Here is a 16,929-nt window from a genome sequence, read left to right on the forward strand (position 1 = left end):
TTGGCTTAATTAGGAGCTAACTCTTAGTTGAACATTCTTAATTTTATAAAAGTGTCCACTTTTTGCTTTGAAATTGAGAGCCTTTTCTACTAGAGAATCATGTAGGTTGATAATATTCTCCAGGTTATTTGTATAATATGTCATCTTTTTCTTTTCTTTCCTTTTCTTTTCTTTTTTTTTTTTTTGAGACGGAGTCTCATTCTGTCGCTCAGGCTGGAGTGCAGTGGCGCCATCTTGGCTCACTGCAACCTCTGCCGCCAGGTTCAAGTGATTCTCTTGCCTCAGCCTCCAGAGTAGCCGGGACCACAGGCACTTGCCACCATGCCCAACTAATTTTTGTATTTTTAGTAGAGACGGGGTTTCGCCCTGTTGGCCAGGCTGGTCTCGAGCTCCTGACCTCAAGTGATCCTCCTGCCTTGGCCTCCCAAAGTGATACAGGTGTGAGCCACCACACCCAGCATATATGATCTTTTTCTTAATCCTATTCACTTTCATGATTATTAAGATTATTATAAATTTATTGTAGAAGTACAGATATATGTGTAAATGTAGAAATATAATTTTTAGTAACACATTCACGACTTGGTGTCAGGCGAATTAAAGTTTCACTATCTGCACATGATACCTAAGTTTTTCTCAGTATCCAGAATGAGCATTACTTCTCCCTAGCCTATCTCTGATGATAACTAACCTTTTAAACTCATCAACTGGACAGGTTTCATAGCGGCAGACATTAAAGGTACAGGTTCCTGGACTCAGCTCTATTTGATTACTGATTACCATGAAAATGGATCTCTCTATGACTTCCTGAAATGTGCTACACTGGACACCAGAGCCCTGCTTAAATTGGCTTATTCAGCTGCCTGTGGTCTGTGCCACCTGCACACAGAAATTTATGGCACCCAAGGAAAGCCCGCAATTGCTCATCGAGACCTAAAGAGCAAAAACATCCTCATCAAGAAAAATGGGAGTTGCTGCATTGCTGACCTGGGCCTTGCTGTTAAATTCAACAGGTGAGTGGTTCTTTGCCCCACTGTTTTGAAATTATTTTAATTTCCAAAAGATATTTCCCTATTTGTATTCAAGATAATGGAATTCTAAAAATGTGCATATGCTTGTTTTTAGTTACATAAATGTATAGTTGGGGGGGATTTTGTTCTTTTTACAAAAATTGTGTCCTACTTCTCCTATACATAATTCTTGATATATATATATTTTTTTGGTGTTTTTTTTTGTTTGTTTTTTGTTTTTTGTTTTTTGTTTTTTTTAAAGACAGTGTCTCACTCAGTTGCCCAGGCTGGAATATAGTAGTGTGATCTTAGCTCACTGCAACCTCGACCTCATGGGCTCAAGCAATCCTCCCACCTCAGCCTCCTGAGTAGCTGGGACTACAGGCATGCACTGCCACACCTAGCTAATGTTTTTATTTTTTGCGGAGATGGGGTCTCACTGTGTTGCCTAGGCTGGTCTCAAACTCCTAGGCTCAGCTGATCCTCCCAAAGTGCTGGGATTACAGGTGTGTGCCATATAGTCTTAGCCATCCTTCCATTTCAGCTGATGTAAATCTACTTCATTCTTTTTAACAGATGCAGAGTTTTCCATATGTGGAGGTACTGTAGTTTATTCTTAAGACCCAACTGATGAACATTAAAGGTGTCTTCAGTTGATTATGAAAAGGTTTTTTAATGAACATTGTTGTATTTTAACCATATATTATATATTTGATCCTTGTGCACTTGTACAAGCATTTCTTCATGATGGATTCCTAGAGAAGGGCCTGCTGAGGCAGTGAGTTTATACATATTAAACTATGGTATGTTGCATATTATTTCTTTCAGCAGTGTGCCTCAGTTTACACACCCGTAAGCAGTAGAGATAAGGATGTCATTTTTCTGTCACCACTTGATAGTGTCAGTATTTTAAAACAAATGCAAGTGTTAGAAATTACAAATTTTTAGGAAACCTTTGAAACCATTTTAATCTTGTAATTCTAGAATGGAGTGGCTGCTTTACATTTCAGAATTCATTTTAGGCTGTAATATAAAAGTACCAGTCTTTAAAACAACTGTAAGAGACATTTAAATCTGTTACAGTGTTCTGAGTCAGTGTAGTATTTGTTGGCTCAGATATTTATCAGATGCTATAGGAAAATACAACGCATTATATTGATCACTGCTTTAGAGTAATTATTACTAATTGTCAGTATGATCATGTAAACATTGCTAACAACAGAACTCTGTTGATGGGACCCATAAAGAAGAAAATGTAATCCTATGTCACAAAGCCTTAGTGTATCATATGAGAGTGGTAAAAGCAAGCGATTCCTCTTGTATTTTCATATTCACCACTTCTCAGACATAATTATCTACTACTTTATCTTTTTTTTTTCCTTTTCTTTTCTTTTTTTTTTTTTTTTTGAGAGAGATTCTCACTCTGTTGCCCAGGCTGGAGTGCAGTGGCATGGTCTCGGCTCACTGCAGTCTCCGCCTCCCAGGTTCAAGTAATTTTCGTGCTTCAGCCTCCCAAGTAGCTGGAATTATAGTCATGTGCCACCAACCCTGGTTAACTTTTGTATTTTATAGAGACAGTGTTTTACCATGTTGGCCAGGCTGATCTTGAACACCTGACCTCAGGTGATGCGCCCGCCTTGGCCTCCCAAAGTGCTGAGATTACAGGCATGAGCAACCGTGCCTGGCTTAACTTTATCTTATATTCAGTGTTGTCCTCTTTCTTAGACACCAGACTTATTTAGTGACAAAACCTGACCTGAACGGATGTGAGGTGTGTATTGCCCTTATCCAGTTGAGGAGGACTATCGGACTTAGTGTTTTGCTGTAGACACAGTACTGAGTACTGAGTTGGATTAAGAGTGCTGCCCCAACCCTGCTGAGGATGTCATGTAGTATGTAGCATGTATTTAAAGAAAAATCTGAAAAATGCTAAATTCCACAATGCATCTGGCCCCAAGGAGAAAAAGAAGCTTTTATAAAATAGGACAAAAATACAAGATAAACTATTTTATTTTTGGCCCTCAACTTGGACCTTGGCTTTCTTTTGTTTCAGTGACACAAATGAAGTTGATGTGCCCTTGAATACCAGGGTGGGCACCAAACGCTACATGGCTCCCGAAGTGCTGGACGAAAGCCTGAACAAAAACCACTTCCAGCCCTACATCATGGCTGACATCTACAGCTTCGGCCTAATCATTTGGGAGATGGCTCGTCGTTGTATCACAGGAGGTGGGAGTTTGAGTAGTTTCTGATTATGTTGATTTACTCATCATTTTAAAAATAACAGCTCCAGTTATATAACTTTTTAGTTTTTAATTTTTGTGGGCACATAGTAGGTGTATATATTATTGGATAAGGAGTTATTTTGATACAGGCATGCCATGTGTAATAATCACATCTTGGAGAATTGGATATCTGTCCCTTCAGACATTTATCCTTTGTTTCACCAACCAGTTATACTCCTTGAGTTATTTTTAAGTGTACAATTAAATTATTACTAACTGTAGTCCTCCCCGTTGTGCTATAAAATACCAAATACTTATTCATTCTTCTATTTTGTCTCTACTTATTAAACATCCCCCCCCATCTGCTGCTACCCTTCCCAACCTCTGGTAACCATCCTTCTGTTCTCCATGAGTTCAGTTGTTTTGATTTTTAGATCTCACAAGTAAGTGAGAACATGTGAAGTTTGTCTTTCTGTGCCTGGCTTATTTTACTTAACGTTATGACATCCAGTTCCTCCATGTTATTTCAGAAGGCAGAATCTCATTCTTTTTTCTGGCTGAATGATACTCCATTGTGTGTAGGTGCCACATTTTCTTGATGTGTTCATCTGTTGATGGTCACTTAGGTTGCTTCCACATCTTGGCTATTGTGAACAGTGCTGCAGCAAACATGAGGGTGCAGGTATCTCTTCGGTTAGCTGATTTCCTTTCTTTTGGGTATACACCTAGGAGTGCAATTGCTGGCAGTTACGTAATTTAGATGTCACATACGTCAGAGTCCCCAAGACCACCCCCAGGTTGTGCGATTTCACTTGAAGGACCACAGGACTCGGCATGTGGTTGTCCCAATGGCTAACATTTATCCCAGTGAAAGGATACAAATCAAAATCAGCCAAGTTTAGAAAACCAGGCGAGGCTTCCCAGAATCCTGTCCCAGCGGAGTCAGGGCGTGTGCTTCATTCCTCTTACTAGTTGTGACAACACATACAAAGTGTTCTCATTCGGGAAAGCTCCTTAGAGACTTGGCACCCAGAGATTTTACTGGAGGCTGGTCACATAGGCATCCTCTGCCTGGCATGTACCAGAATTCCAGCAGGAAAGCAGACGTGCAGTACACACCACATTGTTTGCACAAGCAGCCCAGGAGTGGTGAGTTACCCTCACCGTTTCCGGTAAGTTTTATATCCATGTAGGGAACTGTTTACCATTTGTGTACCCGGGCACTGGCCAAGGCCAAACCTTGCAAGCCGCCTTTCCTAAGGGAAGGTCTCAGGCCTGCTGTGTGAACCCTTATCTGCACCTCATAAGTCTTTCTACTGCAGAGCAAAATGAAACAAAATAATAAAAACTATTCATTAGTAGGAACAACCATATAAGTAAATAATTATACTTTAGGGTAAATGGCTGATTTCGCCTTGCTTATTTTTTTTAAGGAAGATTGATATGCCCTTTGTCGATGGACTCTATCACAGTTGTGATGACATCCCTGGTGGAGGTAGAGGAAATAGTTGGACATAAATAAGAGAAAAACATACATCTACTATTAAGAGTGAATCATAGTGTCTATATTTTTTCTTGTGTAAGAATCCGTTTTAGTTCCATAGTTTAGCAAAAGATGCTTACTAGATTGGTATATCTTGTCCAGCAACCATTTTTGTGCCCATGTTTTCTCATTCCCTTATAGGGATCGTGGAAGAATACCAATTGCCATATTACAACATGGTACCGAGTGATCCGTCATACGAAGATATGCGTGAGGTTGTGTGTGTCAAACGTTTGCGGCCAATTGTGTCTAATCGGTGGAACAGTGATGAAGTGAGTGGAACTCAGTCCCCTGAAGAAGTGATTCGTAAATGCCACCAAATATATTCTCTGCTCACTGAACATCTCTTTACTTTTCAGTGTCTACGAGCAGTTTTGAAGCTAATGTCAGAATGCTGGGCCCACAATCCAGCCTCCAGACTCACAGCATTGAGAATTAAGAAGACGCTTGCCAAGATGGTTGAATCCCAAGATGTAAAAATCTGATGGTTAAACCATCGGAGGAGAAACTCTAGACTGCAAGAACTGTTTTTACCCATGGCATGGGTGGAATTAGAGTGGAATAAGGATGTTAACTTGGTTCTCAGACTCTTTCTTCACTACGTGTTCACAGGCTGCTAATATTAAACCTTTCAGTACTCTTATTAGGATACAAGCTGGGAACTTCTAAACACTTCATTCTTTATATATGGACAGCTTTATTTTAAATGTGGTTTTTGATGCCTTTTTTTAAGTGGGTTTTTATGAACTGCATCAAGACTTCAATCCTGATTAGTGTCTCCAGTCAAGCTCTGGGTACTGAATTGCCTGTTCATAAAACGGTGCTTTCTGTGAAAGCCTTAAGAAGATAAATGAGCGCAGCAGAGATGGAGAAATAGACTTTGCCTTTTACCTGAGACTTTCAGTTCGTTTGTATTCTACCTTTGTAAAACAGCCTATAGATGATGATGTGTTTGGGATACTGCTTATTTTATGATAGTTTGTCCTGTGTCCTTAGTGATGTGTGTGTGTCTCCATGCACATGCACGCCGGGATTCCTCTGCTGCCATTTGAATTAGAAGAAAATAATTTATATGCATGCACAGGAAGATATTGGTGGCCGGTGGTTTTGTGCTTTAAAAATGCAATATCTGACCAAGATTCGCCAATCTCATACAAGCCATTTACTTTGCAAGTGAGATAGCTTCCCCACCAGCTTTATTTTTTAACATGAAAGCTGATGCCAAGGCCAAAAGAAGTTTAAAGCATCTGTAAATTTGGACTGTTTTCCTTCAACCACCATTTTTTTTGTGGTTATTATTTTTGTCACGGAAAGCATCCTCTCCAAAGTTGGAGCTTCTATTGCCATGAACCATGCTTACAAAGAAAGCACTTCTTATTGAAGTGAATTCCTGCATTTGATAGCAATGTAAGTGCCTATAACCATGTTCTATATTCTTTATTCTCAGTAACTTTTAAAAGGGAAGTTATTTATATTTTGTGTATAATGTGCTTTATTTGCAAATCACCCACTCCTTTACAACCATACTTTATATATGTACATACATTCATACTGTAGAAACCAGCTCATGTGTACCTCATATCCCATCCTTAAGAGAAGAAATGTTATAAAGTAGAACTAAATATAAATTTTCAGAATTAATGCATTCAAAGTAATATATCAAATCCAGGACTTTGTTAACTTCAGGTAAAAACTTCATTAGGGTAATATCATCTCAATTTTTTCAAATGAAAGGATTCTCTAATTAGAAATTTATATGTCAGAGCTGTTATAAATTTATCAACTGTCAAATATGTTCTGGACAGCTAAATCATTTGAGATTTTTGGTTTTTTGATTTCTATTCCCTAACTTGTGAAGACAATGAAAAATCAGGCAGAAATATTTAGTATCTAGTCAGTATCTGTAGCTACACTGTATAACTGTTCTTCAATAAAATGGTTCATATTTTATAGATGCCTTGTTATCTCAAGAAATCTGATTTACATAAACTTATACTTCTTTAATGCTTTTTAAATATTTATTCTGAGCAAACAATTCATGAGTACATCAAGTGAGATAGTTTTATTTGATTATAACATAAAATAAATGTGATTATATCACATCATCATCAAAAAGGTTTAAATTAAATGGGAGGAAATCAGCATATGTCCACCCATTACCAAAATTTGACTATCATTTAAGGTTAAAACTTACAAATTTGTCTGCACATCAAATTTCACAAATTTGAAAATTGCCTTAACCATTTTGATTAATAAGTTTCATCTGCCATAATTAAAGTCTGAAGTGTTCATCAAGATAAGTAAATTTGCATATGGATAATACCCAATAACTTGTTTTTTCAGAATTTTTCACCATATGTATACTGAGAAATACAAATATTTTAATCTGCGTTGCCGTATGATATGATTGCACTTAGAACACCCAATTTACTTAAATCTTGGTTTACTTTTGACTTGATACCATAATCTTTAAAATCATTTGTCATCTTTTTTTTTTTTTTTTTGAGACGGAGTCTCGCTCTGTCGCCCAGGCTGGACTGCGGACTGCAGTGGCGCAATCTCGGCTCACTGCAAGCTCCGCTTCCCGGGTTCACGCCATTCTCCTGCCTCAGCCTCCCGAGTAGCTGGGACTACAGGCGCCCGCCACCGCGCCCGGCTAATTTTTTGTATTTTTAGTAGAGACGGGGTTTCACCTTGTTAGCCAGGATGGTCTCAATCTCCTGACCTCATGATCCACCTGCCTCGGCCTCCCAAAGTTCATTTGTCATCTTAATAAAAATATAAAGACAGGCAAAGTTTATTGGAAATGTTCAAATGGTGTGTGGAAGCAAAAAATTACAGCCAGTATATGAGACCACTATTATGGTTTTTTAAAATTAACTTGGTCTAGTAAAAGTGATATCAAGAGTTAATCTTAGAAACTTGCTCAGTAAAAACATTTTCTAGTATAACATGTTCTTTAAAAAGCAAATGCTGCCGTCTTTGGAATCTTAATCTAAAAATGTGGCCGGGCGCGGTGGCTCACGCCTGTAATCCCAACACTTTGGGAGGCTGAGGCGGGTGGATCACAAGGTCAGGAGTTCAAGACCAGCCTGGCCAACATGGTGAAACCCCATCTCTACTAAAAATAAAAAACTCAGCCAGGCGTGGTGGCGGGTGCCTGTAATCCCAGCTACTCGGGAGGCTGAAGCAGGAGAATTGCTTAAAATCAGAAGGTGGAGGTTGCAGTGAGCTGAGATCGTGTCACTGCACTCCAGCCTGGGCAAAAGAGCGAAACTCCATCTCAAATAAACAAACAAATAAATAACAAAAAACAAAAATGTTGCATTAAACTTAGTTCTTGTCTCTCCTTTCCACTCTTATTCTTAAATCTGAAGCTCATCGACTAAGTGAAATATTTAAAGAATATGATAGGCCAGCAAGAAGAAGTATTATGTAGTACCATAGTTAGTAAATTCGTAAAACCTTGGAAGCCATTATTTGGTCCCACTTGCAATTTAGTGTTTTTGAAGTGTGTAGCTTCATTCAGATAGCTCTTTAAATAATTAAAATATAAAAGCAAACAACCCAAACTACCTGACTATAAACAGGAAAAGTTAACCCTCAAAGAGAGTTCTTGTGAATTCTCTTTATGCTGGCAAATAGCTCTAGGATTAAAGGCACATTAGGGTTTCCTTCAGTTTGTTTATTCTAAGCTTTTACTGTGCTTTTTACTGAACAAGTTTCTGATGTATAAAACTTGCATCTGATTTCTTTGGAAATATTTTCACAAAAGTTATTTTAATCAGTATTTTTACATTGCCTTTCCAGTGTCCAGAAGTGTTTCTAAACTTAGAAAGTGACCTATAGTTTTTTAAAATTATGTTTTCCTAGAACGTGCCAAATTTTGATTTACTCTAACAATCAGTACTTTTCTTCAGATGCTTTGTTCTGTTTAGAACAAAAATGCACTATAGTTTTTAAAGAATCATGCATCTTTGGGTTGGCCCAGGATCAAATTTGATATTGAATAATTTATTCCAGGGCAGCTTTCATAAACATACTTCATAGATGTTGTTTTGAAATGTTTCTAAATATCTAAAATCATTTCAACAGCAGAAATGATTTTTATTTTAACAAAAGATTATGATAGCCCTTGTAGTGTTTAAAAGTGGTCATATTTATTACTGACTTTGAGTCAGGTGTTAAAATAGCAGTGCCACAGCTCGTCTCTTGCCTTAGTGTGCTGCTGTGAGAGTCACAGTGGAAACTGCAGGGAGGAGGTGTGTTCCTAAGAACCAAAATCCAGCACAGCATCCTGTGAAGCCACGTGTAATGATGGTCCCATAAGGAAAGTATGTGAATATGGCTCTTGTAAAGGATTAACTATTGTAATTTTAGCTTATGCTCTGTATTCTGTTTTCTATGGAATTATTTAAGCCCTTTTAGTGACCTTTGTCCTGGCCCATTTAAAAACTAAAATGTAGTATATATTGTATAAAATGGAAATATCATTATTGCTTCATTAGGGGAAACTGTACATAGGCATTGAAAGAAGGGTAAAAGCAAGCAGTTTTATCAGGCAGTTGTAAAACACCAAAAATATAGATTCGTCTTTGACGTGTAACACACTAAATGTATTTTGTACAGCATCTGGTTTAAAAGGTGCCTTAAGAGTTTACCATTACTTGCTTTGTTCTATATACAGATTATGTCCAATGTATCATTTTGAAGTAAATAACCTTATTTTAGTATACTTTAGTGATGTGTTTTGTGATGCTACACTCAGACGGTATTGTGCATCAGAAGTCATCTGTTGAGATTTTTGTAATGATTAAGTTAGTGTATATACATATGTTCCTGAGATGTACACTTCAACTACCAGAAACCCAGTATGGAGCACAGGTAGGTACACGCTTGCCCTGTGGAGATAGAGAACTTCTAAACCTATCACGGTGCAGGGGTTTTTCCTTTAAAAAACAAGACAAAACATTGTTTTCTTTTTCCTTTTTTTTTTTTTTTTTTTGAGACGGAGTTTTGCTCTTGTTGCCCAGGCTGGAGTGCAATGGCACGATCTCAGCTCACTGCAACCTTTGCCTCCTGGGTTCAAGCAATTCTCCTGCCTCAGCCTCCCGAATAGCTGGAACTACAGGTGTTTGCCACCATGCCTGGCTAATTTTTTGTATTTTTAATAGAGACAGGGTTTCACCATGTTGGCCAGGCTGGTCTCGAACTCCTGACCTCAGGTGGCCCACTTGCCTTGGCCTCCCAAAGTGCTGAGCTTACAGGCATGAGCCACCATGCCTGGCCAAAACATTGTTTTCTGATTATGGAAATGTACTCATGGCAGAAAATTTGGGAAACAACAGCAAATAATAAAGCAAATAAAAATCACTCAAAATTCTATTGCCAGACATTATCACTATATACATTTGAGTGTTTCTTTTCAATCTTTTTTTTTGAGAGAGTCTTGCTCTGTCACTCAGGGTGGAGTGCAGTAGCGCGATCTCGGCTCAGTGCAACCTCTGCCCCCTGGGTTCAAGTGATTCTCCTGCCTCAGCCTCCCAAGTAGCCGGGATTACAGGTGTGCACCACCACGCCCGGCTAATTTTTGTATTTTAGTAGAGATGCGGTTTCACCATGTTGGCCCAGGCTGGTCTCGAACTCCTGACCTCAAGTGATCTGCCTACCTCAGCCTCCCAAAGTGCTGGGATTACAGGAGTGAGCCACTGCACCCGGCCTTATTCTTTTTTATGTTGCATTTTTTGTAATATTAGGATCCTAGTATGCCATTAAATAGCCATTGAGAACTTTTTTTTTAATGACTGCACAATATTTGACTAAGAAGATGGAGTAATTTCTGTGCTCAATCCCCTATTGAATATTTGGATTATTTTCATTGTTTTGAAAAATAGATATTAAGCATCCTTATACATAAATCTTTATTTTCTTATATTACATTTCTGAAAATGAGACTAGTGGATATGAACTTTTAAAAGATCCTTTAAGATGGAAAAACTAAGGTTCTTGGAAAACATTGCCATATTGCTACTCACAAAGCTTTTCATTTTCATTCCTGCTAGCAGTTCATGAGCTTAGAGCGATGGGATGCATTTACCTGGCCTTAAGATGCTCCTGCTGCAATGGGAAGTGAAGCCTTGGATAGCTTTCCTCCTCCTGTGCAATACTTTCTTGTCATTTTCCCACCTGCACTGAGTCCCACCGCCAGTCAGGGCTGTTTTCAGGTGTATGTGAATTCATCCCAGCAGTGTGCCTTCTGCTGCCTTTTCCTAGGGAACTGAACATGTTAAATCACAGACGCGATGTGGCACTGATTATTGTTCCTCAAAAGAAATGCGTGTCTGAAGATAGCCTCTTACAGATTCCTCACGGGAGTCTCTGTTCAGTGTCATTGTAAGTTTCTCAGAATAATCGCAGGCGCTCTGATGCAGCCTGGTAAAGAAGACTCAGTGATTTCTGGGAACTGCAAATGCTTGCCAGCTTTCCTTCTGTCTGTGGAAACACTGAATAAATGTATTCATTTCTCCTTTCCAGCAATCTGTTAGTCTCACTGCTCCATTCCAAGGTTTCTTTAATATTATTAACAGAGCAGACATTAAGAAACAGAATTGTCTAATCCTTGTTCTTCCAAAATAGGTTTAATCCTTGTAGATAGTTTCAAGCAGACAGTAAGTCAGTTACTAAGTTTTCACTTGGAGAAACATTTGCTGATAGTAGTAGCATATTGACCATTTCTGACATGTCATCCTTATATCAAGTTAGGTGCACGCTCCTACACAGCCTTGGCTCAGCGCTTGGAGCATACAGTCTTGACTGGGTGGACATAAACCGCTGAAAGTGGCCAGCAGTGAGCAGAGGCCACCTACTATCAGCGGCACTGCTGCAGGCATGGAGACTTAAATGTGTGAGTGCTGGTATAAGCAGAAGTGGGAGAGTCACCTCGATGCTGGGATCCAGATGGCGGCTTATTTCAAGTGCAGTGGCACATACAAAAAATATTTTTGGAAGGGAGCAAGGACTAGGGCTGAAAGGTTCATTCATAATCTTTTTTTCTTTTTTTTTTTAGGTGGAGTCTCGCTCTGTCACCCAGGCTGGAGCGCAATGGGGTGATCCCAGCTCACTGCAACCTCCACCTCCCGGGTTAAAGCAATTCTCCTGCCTCAGCCACCTGAGAAGTTGGGATTACAGGCGTGCACCACCACACTCAGCTAATTTTGTATTTTTAGTAGAGACGGGGTTTACCATGTGGGCCAGGCTGGTCTCGAACTCCCAACCTCAGGTGATCTGCCCACCTTGGCCTTCCAGAGTGCTGGGATTATAGGCGTGAGCCACTGCGCCCAGCCCATAATCTCCTTTTGACATAGGAATTGTTAATTCACATATTCCATCAACCTATTGCTCCTCTGAATCTTAGCAGCTTCTTGGTCTTTGTTCAAATGAAATCTAAGTCAATTCCATATCTCTCAATGTCGCTACATCCACCTCAGTGCTTATATCCTAATTTTGTCTTTTTTAGAGACAGTCTTGCACTGTCACCCAGGCTAGTGTGCAGTGGCTGTTCACAGGCATAATCATAACGCACTGTAGCCTCAAACTCCTGATCTCAAGCCATCCTCCCACCTCAGCCTCCTGAGTAGCTGGGACCATGCCACCATGCCTGGCTCACATTCTAAACATTATGCAGGAAGCTCAAAGTGAAAATCAATATGGAATGTTTATATTGAAAATATTTTTGGCTGGGTGCAGTGGCTAATGCCTCTAATCCCAGCACTCTGGGAGGCTGAGGCGGGCAGACCACCTGAGGTCAGGAGCAGCCTGGCCAACATATAGTGAAACCCTGTCTCTAAGGTACAAAAATTAGCTGGGTGTGGTGGTACTCGCCTGTAGTCCCAGCTCCTTGGGAAGCTGAGGCAGGAGAATCACTTGAACCCAGGAGGCGGAGGTTGCAGTGAGCTGAGATCGCACCACTGCATTCCAGGCTGGGCAACAGAGCAAGACTCCGTCTCTCAAAAAAAAAAAAAGAAAAAAAAATATATATATATATATACACACACACACACACACATATATATATATATATTCAAGCAATGTGAAGAAAATATTGGGCCCCCTTGTTTTTCTTTAATGGAAGAGCCATTTTTAAAAGCCAGTTTAGAATCCAGATGATGACATCTGTTGCTCTACTGTATGACTGAAATGCAGGTCAGTGTTGAAAAACATAAAAAATTGGAAGTCTCCACTGAAAGACCTACACTGCTGTGGGAGGGATTTTAATCAAGACATTTCAAAAGCAATTTTTATTACTTGATCCTGTCCTCATACTTGGCTAGGAGTTCAGCTGGAGATAGAATCTAACTCTGAAGATGATACTCCATGATCTTCTAGCATCCCTTGTCACCAGTGAGAAGTCTGATGTGGATCTAATAAGTGACATGTTATACAGGTTAACTTATTTTCAAGAAATAGAATTTTCTTTTTATTATTGATGTTGGAAGTTGAAACTGGCCATATCTAAATATATTCATTCTGTTTCTTAGTACTAATGGGATCTTTTCTTAGACCTGGGAAATTTTCTCCCATTATTTCTTTTGTTTCTTCCCTTTTTTCTTTCTTTTCCTTTTCTCTTTCTAGAACTTTCTAGAACAAATCTCAGGTCCCCTAGATGTTTCTTCCATAATTGTTACTATGCTTCTCATATGTTTCATCCTACCTTCTACTTTTGTCAGCCCATCTGAGTTTATTTCAACAGCCAAATGTTTTATTTTGAAATGATTCCAGGCTTCCATTAAAGTTTCATCAATAGTATAAGGACTGCCATTTACCCTTCACCCAGATTCATAAACTGCTAACATTGCACAATTGCTTTGTCATTCTGTGTGTGTGTGTACAGGAATCACAGAGACTCATCTTGTAATGTTTGTAATGTCCATGTATCGTGTATGCACACATTTTTTTCTGACCTATTAGAAGCAAATTACAGAGCTAATACCCCTTTATCCCTAAATACTTCAGGGATGTTCTATTACTTAACCAATTATGTACAATTATCAGAACCAGGAAAGTTCACATTGATACAATAGCAATGACCAACAATACCATAATCTATAGACCTTACTGAAGTTTTGCTAATTGTTATTTTGGTGTGGTTGGGTTTTTTGTTTGTTTGAGATAGGGTCTCACTCTGTCACCCAGGCTGGAGTACAGTGGCACAGTCATAGCTCACTTCAACCTCAAACTTTGGGCCTCAAGCGATCCTCCCGCCTCAGCCTCCCAAAGGGCTATGATTACAGGCATGAGCCACCATGCTGGCCTCATTTCCCCTTTCCTTCTCAAAAGGATTCTGGCTTTCCCTACTGCATTCATCCACGTCCACTACCCGCTCCAAGAGAGCTGAGTAATTGTCAAGCCAGGTTTGGGGAGCTTTCTTGATGGAGGGGATGGAAGGAGGGTGGTGCTCAGGCTACAGCAGGGAGAGCTTTTCTGTTTTTGAGCTAAAGACATAACAGGGTGCAGAGGCTGAGAAAAGGAGAGTTCTAAGCAACATGTCACGAGCTATGTAGCCTCTTCACACTGCTTCTGAAATAAAATCTAACAGTAGGAGTGACTTTGACATTATGTTGTGGTTTCTGCAGACAACTTGGGATTGGCCCCTGTGGGTTTGTTAAGGGCATGTTTGTCAGAGTATGGGGGCTCCCTGCTTCCAGAGGCCCAGCAGCTGCTGTGTACCTGGGGTTCAGGGCTGACGGCAGGGCTGGAGTTCTGGCACACAGTGACCCCAAGTGTGTTTATTTTTTTCCTTGTGGTGATGGTTGAACTGTTTTAGGGTTGGTTTTTGTTATTGTTTTTTTTCAACTTTTATTTTAGATTCAGGGGCTACATGTACAGATCTGTTACCTAGGTATGTTGTGTGATGCTAAGGTTTGTGGTATGATTGATGCCATCACCCACATACTGAACATAGTACCCAACAGTTAGTTTTTCAACCCTTGCCTCCCCAACATGTCTCAAGGGCTGGGTTTGAGTTTGGGGCTCCGCCCAAATCACTCCCATCTCCCCAGCAGTCTCACATGTTTGGGGTCATGATTTCCTGTTGCTGTTTCATTTCAGACCTGATCCCTTCTATTTTTCAGGAATTACTAAAATGTCCTGATGTACTTATGGTACCGTCTCTTGTTTTCCAATTGGAGATTTTTTTTTTTTTTTTTGAGATGGAGTTTCATTCACTCTTGTTGCGCAGGCTGGAGTGCAACGGCTCGATCTCAGCTCATTGCAACTTCTGCATCCCAGGTTCAAGTGATTCTCCTGCCTCAGCCTCCCGAGTAGTGGGGATTACAAGCACCCGCCACCACGCCTGGCTAATTTTTATATTTTTAGTAGAGATGGGGTTTCATCACATTGGCCAGGCTGGTCTTGAACTCGTGACCTCAGGTGATCCACCCGCCTCGGCCTCCCAAAGTGCTGAGATTACAGGCATGAGCCACCAATTTGGGGATTTTAAAATATTTTTTCCACATCAGGTTTGCAGGTACCACCGTGTGCTCCGTCCATTGTGGTGTTTTGGGTGCCACAGTGAGGGTGCTGACCGCTGGTCTGGGTAACGGGGGGTCTGCTTGCAGGACAGGAGGAGCCTCCACCCAGGTGGAGACAGGAAGTCTATCAGATGAACTTCAGAAGTCTTGCTAATCTGGGGGGGGGGTCCTAATTTTAGGACCGTTTAAACAGAAAATTTGCCCTTAAACTTGATGTTAAGGTTTTGTGAAATGCAGTCATATATGTTTTGTTGCATGGAAAACACCCTGTCCAGAAGAACCATTTCTCTAGTTCTCATCCCAGAAACTTCTGGAGTGACACATCCATGCTGTTGGCAGAGCTTGCCCGTTAGCACTTTCATGTATAATCTTCCTCTCAAAGAGGACCAACTGTATGAGGGTTGGATGACATGTACCCCTTCCAGAAGGGATCAATTCACTTCATTTACTATGGGCAGTAACTTCCAAAGGATAAGACTGCATTACCTAATGTCTCAACTGTTAACAGCAGAGCCTGACCAGTCACTGCATGATTGAGCAGAAAGAAGACACAGCACAGTCTGCAGCAGCAAGGCTCACCTGCTACTGGGCTTCTAATCTTTGTTCTGGCGTGGCCGTCTGCTTCATGCCTTGGGGCAGAATTGGTCTTGGTAACTGAGAGCTGCACCGGGGGTGGGTGATACTTAAACCTGTGGTTAAGATAATAAAATGCCAGAGGCCAGGCGTGGTGGCCCACACCTGTAATCCCAGCACTTTGGGAGGCTGAGGTGGGAGGATCATTTGAGGTCAGGAATTCAAGACCAGCCTGGCCAACATGGTGAAACCCTGTCTCTACTAAAAATACAAAAATTAGGCGGGCATAGTGGTGGGTGCCTCTAATCCCAGTTACTCGAGAGGCTGAGGCAGGAGAATTGCTTGAGCCTGGGAGGCAGAGGTTGCAGTGAGCTGAGATTGCGCCACTGCACTCCAGCGTGGGTGACAGAGCAAGACTCCGTCTCAAAAAAGAATGCCAGAATACCTAATTAGAGCTGTAAGATCAACCACCTCACACTAAAGACAAAGTTCAAGAGAGGTTGTGATTTACCCCAGGTCAAACATGAGCAGTGTGGCCTGGCATACTGTTCCTTTTAACACCGATGTTTTAGCACATTGAGTGCACAAAACTTAGTGCTAAATAAATTCTGAGGAACAAGTGAAGTAATAACTCCTAGCAAACAATGAGAAGTGCTGATAACCTTGTTAACGCCAACAAGCAACTCACTACGAAGTCCAGTCTGATTTTTTTTTTTTTTTTTTTTTGAGACAGAGTCTCGCTCTGTCTCCCAGGCTGGGGTGCAGTGTCACCATCTCAGCTCACTGCAACCTCCGCCTCCCGGGTTCAACCGATTCTCCTGCCTCAGCAATCTGATTTTCTTATAGAGAAGACTATATTCAACAAATTTTGAGTACTTAATACCAAAAAAAACCTTGTTTCTGATAGCTAGATGACTGTTTTCTCAGGCCAGTTTGCTATAGGATCTGAACTTTTTTGAAAACCATATGCTGGTATATTACAGGAATAATTGCAGCTATGAGCTGTACTGTCTAGTCCAGTATTAGTATCTTTGCCTAGTGTGGAAACT

General features: G+C 40.5%; 1 protein-coding gene across 36 annotated transcripts in view; it reads left to right on the top strand.

Annotated features, from left to right (window-relative positions):
* Positions 1 to 14,388, top strand: part of BMPR1A (bone morphogenetic protein receptor type 1A) — a 177,082-nt gene extending 162,694 nt beyond the window's left edge. For 33 of the 36 annotated variants that reach the window (NM_001406562.1, NM_001406568.1, NM_001406567.1 and 30 more), the window contains 4 exons: positions 716 to 1,013; positions 3,064 to 3,239; positions 4,920 to 5,050; positions 5,138 to 9,513. In NM_001406562.1, the coding sequence (NP_001393491.1) occupies positions 716 to 1,013; positions 3,064 to 3,239; positions 4,920 to 5,050; positions 5,138 to 5,263 (731 nt within the window). In that variant the 3' untranslated portion in view covers positions 5,264 to 9,513. Of the gene's footprint in view, positions 1 to 715; positions 1,014 to 3,063; positions 3,240 to 4,919; positions 5,051 to 5,137; positions 9,514 to 10,840; positions 11,316 to 11,844 lie in introns of those variants that run through there. The other 3 variants (NR_176213.1, NR_176212.1, NR_176211.1) reach the window with 3 other exon arrangements.

Source organism: Homo sapiens, chromosome 10, assembly GCF_000001405.40.
Source record: "Homo sapiens chromosome 10, GRCh38.p14 Primary Assembly".
Classification (NCBI taxonomy): Eukaryota; Metazoa; Chordata; class Mammalia; order Primates; family Hominidae; genus Homo; species Homo sapiens.